Here is a 3,683-nt window from a genome sequence, read left to right as displayed (position 1 = left end):
GATAAAATAGGAACATGTTACAAATTCATATAAGACTTATTTTTGAGAAAAAATATTTATTCATACTGTAAAAAGTGAAAGCTAAATGTATTGTTTGTTTGCAACCTCCTCGGGCAAAGTATCTATAAAATCTGTTCCTATCTGTTCCTAAAAATCTGCTTTTTCCTACATGATAGCATTTTGGAACTTGAACAGTTAATTCTTATTCATTTCTCAGTCTTCCTTTGTATACAAAATGAGAAATTCAGATACATTGCTTATTCAAATGTATTGTAGAAGAACCAGATGAGTTTCATTCGAAATATGAAAATTTTAAACATCACAACCAGAGAACACTGCCGGACATGAAATTTCTGCCACTCTTTTTTGTGATTTTCTTTATCAAGTTCATGCTGAACATGGGGTTTATCTTAGCTGGGCATTGAGTTTTGGTGGTTTTATCACAAAATTAGGATTCTTTTTCCTTTCATCAGCCTTTTATTAAGCATCAACTTCAATAAATCATAGGCATTTTGTATTGCTACTTATCATAGCCATAGTTACTGTAGATAAAACCAGAGAGAGAGAACTTTTGAATTCAAGGATAAAGAGGCATCTAATTGCCATAAACGTCCAAATAATAAAAAGTTATGGAAAAAATATACCCCTTTTATTTATTTTTAAACTATTATTGTTCTCTGTCCTATGTACTGGTCTGGCAGAAAGCTGTGGTATGAATGACATGTAGATCAACAAGAAAAACTACCAAGCCAACCTCTTAAAATGAGGCTAGTCCTGACAGGTCGAGGATCAGCTCTAGGTGCTGCAAAGCTTCTGCAGAATACTGTGATTTGGTTTTCTACGTTGTTTCAACAATGATTGCTTCATCCAAGTGGGGGCAGGGGCAGTACCAAGGATGGCCCTTTACTTCCTGACACACGCACTCTGCGTTGAACAACTACCCCTGAAGATTACACTTATAGCTCAAGTATCCAAATCAATATTTTTTTCTAGAAAAGGTGATGCTGAGAAAAGGCTAAGCAGGTTTGCTAGAACACTGTGATAGATTAACTGCAGAATTCTTCCTGTAGGATTGGGGATATAACGGGCTTCACTAACCTTCCCTAGGCAGTGAAACATCCCCCAAATCTGATGGATCTAGAGTCAGGGAAGTCTGCTTTTGTACCTGCTGGGCCCCAAAGTTGGGCATTTTTCTCTCTGTTCCCTCTCTTTTGAAAATGTAAAATAAAACCAAAAATAGACAACTTTTCCTTCAGCCATTCCAGCATAGAGAACAAAACCTTATGGAAACAGGAATGTCAATTGTGTAATCATTGTTCTAATTAGGTAAATAGAAGTCCCTATGTATGTGTTACAAGAATTTCCCCCACAACATCCTTTATGACTTAAGTTCAATGACAGTTTGCCTTTGGTAGTAAAGGATTTTCTCCATGGCCTGTATTAAGACCATTAGAAAGCACCAGGCCATGGGAGCAGTGATCATCTGCTGACTGTTCTCGTGGATCTTGTGTCCAGGGACATGGGGCGATGTGCCTCGTATGTGTTAGAGGGTGGAATGGATGTGTTTGGCACTGCATGGGATCTGGTGCCCCTCTTCTCCTGGATTTGCATCCCCACCCAGGGCCCGCTTTTACTAAGTGTTCTGCCCTAGCTTGGTTCAAGGAGGTCATCCAACTGACTTTATCCAGTGGAATTGGGATATATTTGATATACTTTTGCCTAACAACATGGAAAAGGGTTTTCCTTTCCCTGCATCCTACTGCTTTGAACTTCCAAGTATGTCTACTCACCTTTTAAAATGTAAACATTTTCAGAAAAATGAGGATTGCTTTCCTTGTATGCACTTTTTATCTTGACTACCTGAATTGCAAGGAATTTTTATATATTCATATGTTCCAAAGTCAGCAACTCTCCTGTTGGTTCATTATTGAATGTGCTGTAAATTAAGTCTTTTGCAATTAAAATGAGGTTTGCCCACATCCAAAAAAAAAAAAGAAAGAAAGAAAAGACTAAGCAGGAAATCCTATCTCTATCTCTATATGTTCATAGTACTATAGACAAGCTTCTTCAGGGGGAATTTAGCCTAAAATAAGATTGTGCCTTTCCTTACATATAACCTGTTATACTTTGTTTGGTAATTTAGAGCAAACCTCATGCTTATTCAAATGATCATGATGAGACAATACTGCCTTATTTTATAAAGCCTCTTCAGACTCTCAGTAAGACAAATAAACTGTGACATTTTGAGGAGTCAGTGAAGCTTTTTCCTCTTGGACAGTGGTGGGAGTAAAGTTTATGGAGAAGGGGGACAGAAAAGTCAAGAAGAAGAAAAGTACAATATAGCAAATCTTTACTACAACTTTAGAGAGAGAAAAAGTGTATCAGAGCAAGATACATTGGAGGCATTTCCTCCTTAAATGCCCTTCATAAAATTACTTGATTTTTATTGGGGGAGGGAGGAAATTGCCAGATCCTTTCTAAAAATATAAACTGTCATGTTTTATAGGGCTATAAAAAATGAAACGCCACTTCATGGTAAGTACTGTTCTGTTAAATTTGAGAAGTCACAGATCTTGTGATTTTCCAAAATTGCAGAGAAGGAGCATTTTGTGCTAAATGCTTCTGTTATTATGTGGACTAGGGAAACACTGACTAATCTTCAGGTATTTCTGTTGCTGTCTTCCTGGGAGACAAGCAAGGGAATTGAACTCTCCTTGCCTCGGGCTGCCTGTTGGCGCTGTATGCAGATGACACCACCTACCTCTCAGTATGTTTTGAAGTTTATTGTTTAGTAAGCACTAGGATTCCTTAGAAAAAACAGGCTCTTTATATAGCATTAGCATTTTAAGGTAGTCTAGTACTCTTAACTCATTTAAATGTTTAAAACACTCTTCGTTCTTTTTCTTTTGTTTTTTCAACAGAATCTCACTCTACCGCAGTCTGGAGGGCAGTGGTGCGACCTTGGTTCACTGCAATCTCTACCTCCTGGGTTCAAGTGATTTTTGTGCCTCAGCCTCCTGAATAGCTGGGATTACAGGTGCACACCACCATGCCTGGCTAATTTTTATGTTTTTAATAGAGAGGGGGTTTCACCATGTTGGCCAGGCTGGTCTTGAATTCCTGACCTCAAGTGATCCACCCACCTCGGCCTCCCAAAGTGCTAGAATTACAGGTGTGAGCCACGCACCCAGCCTCATTCTTAAAGTAAAGTTTTCAAGTACCAGCCTTTAAAAAAATATTTTTTGACACATATGTGATAGGTGGAGCCAAGATGGCCGAATGGGAACAGCTCTGGTCTACAGCTCCCAGCGTGAGCAACGCAGAAGACGGGTGATTTCTGCATTTCCATCTGAGGTACCGAGTTCATCTCACTAGGGAGTGCCAGACAGTGGGCACAGGACAGTGGGTGCAGCGCACCGTGTGCCAGCCAAAGCAGGGCGAGGCATTACCTCACTCGGGAAGTGCAAGGGATCAGGGAGTTCCCTTTCCTAGTCAAAGAAAGGGGCCACAGACGGCACCTGGAAAATCGGGTCACTCTCACCCTAATACTGCACTTTTCTGACCGGCTTAAAAAAAGGCACACCAGGAGACTATATCCCACACCTGGCTGGGAGGGTCCTACGCCCACGGAGTCTCGCTGATTGCTAGCACAGCAGTCTGAGATCAAACTGCAAGGCGGCAGT

General features: G+C 40.2%; 1 annotated feature.

The window, feature by feature from the left end:
- Nucleotides 2,492–3,308: an enhancer, noted in NCBI's record as "NANOG-H3K27ac-H3K4me1 hESC enhancer chr4:119989169-119989985 (GRCh37/hg19 assembly coordinates)". NCBI's record gives its function as "activates a minimal SCP1, AML or CMV promoter by ChIP-STARR-seq in primed H9 embryonic stem cells {active_cell/tissue: H9 hESC(primed)}" and the evidence as "EXISTENCE:reporter gene assay evidence [ECO:0000049][PMID:30033119]".

The sequence above is a fragment of the Homo sapiens genome, chromosome 4 (genome assembly GCF_000001405.40).
Source record: "Homo sapiens chromosome 4, GRCh38.p14 Primary Assembly".
Taxonomy (NCBI): Eukaryota; Metazoa; Chordata; class Mammalia; order Primates; family Hominidae; genus Homo; species Homo sapiens.
Note: the sequence above shows the minus strand (reverse complement) of the source record. Positions and strands in the feature narration are given on the sequence as shown.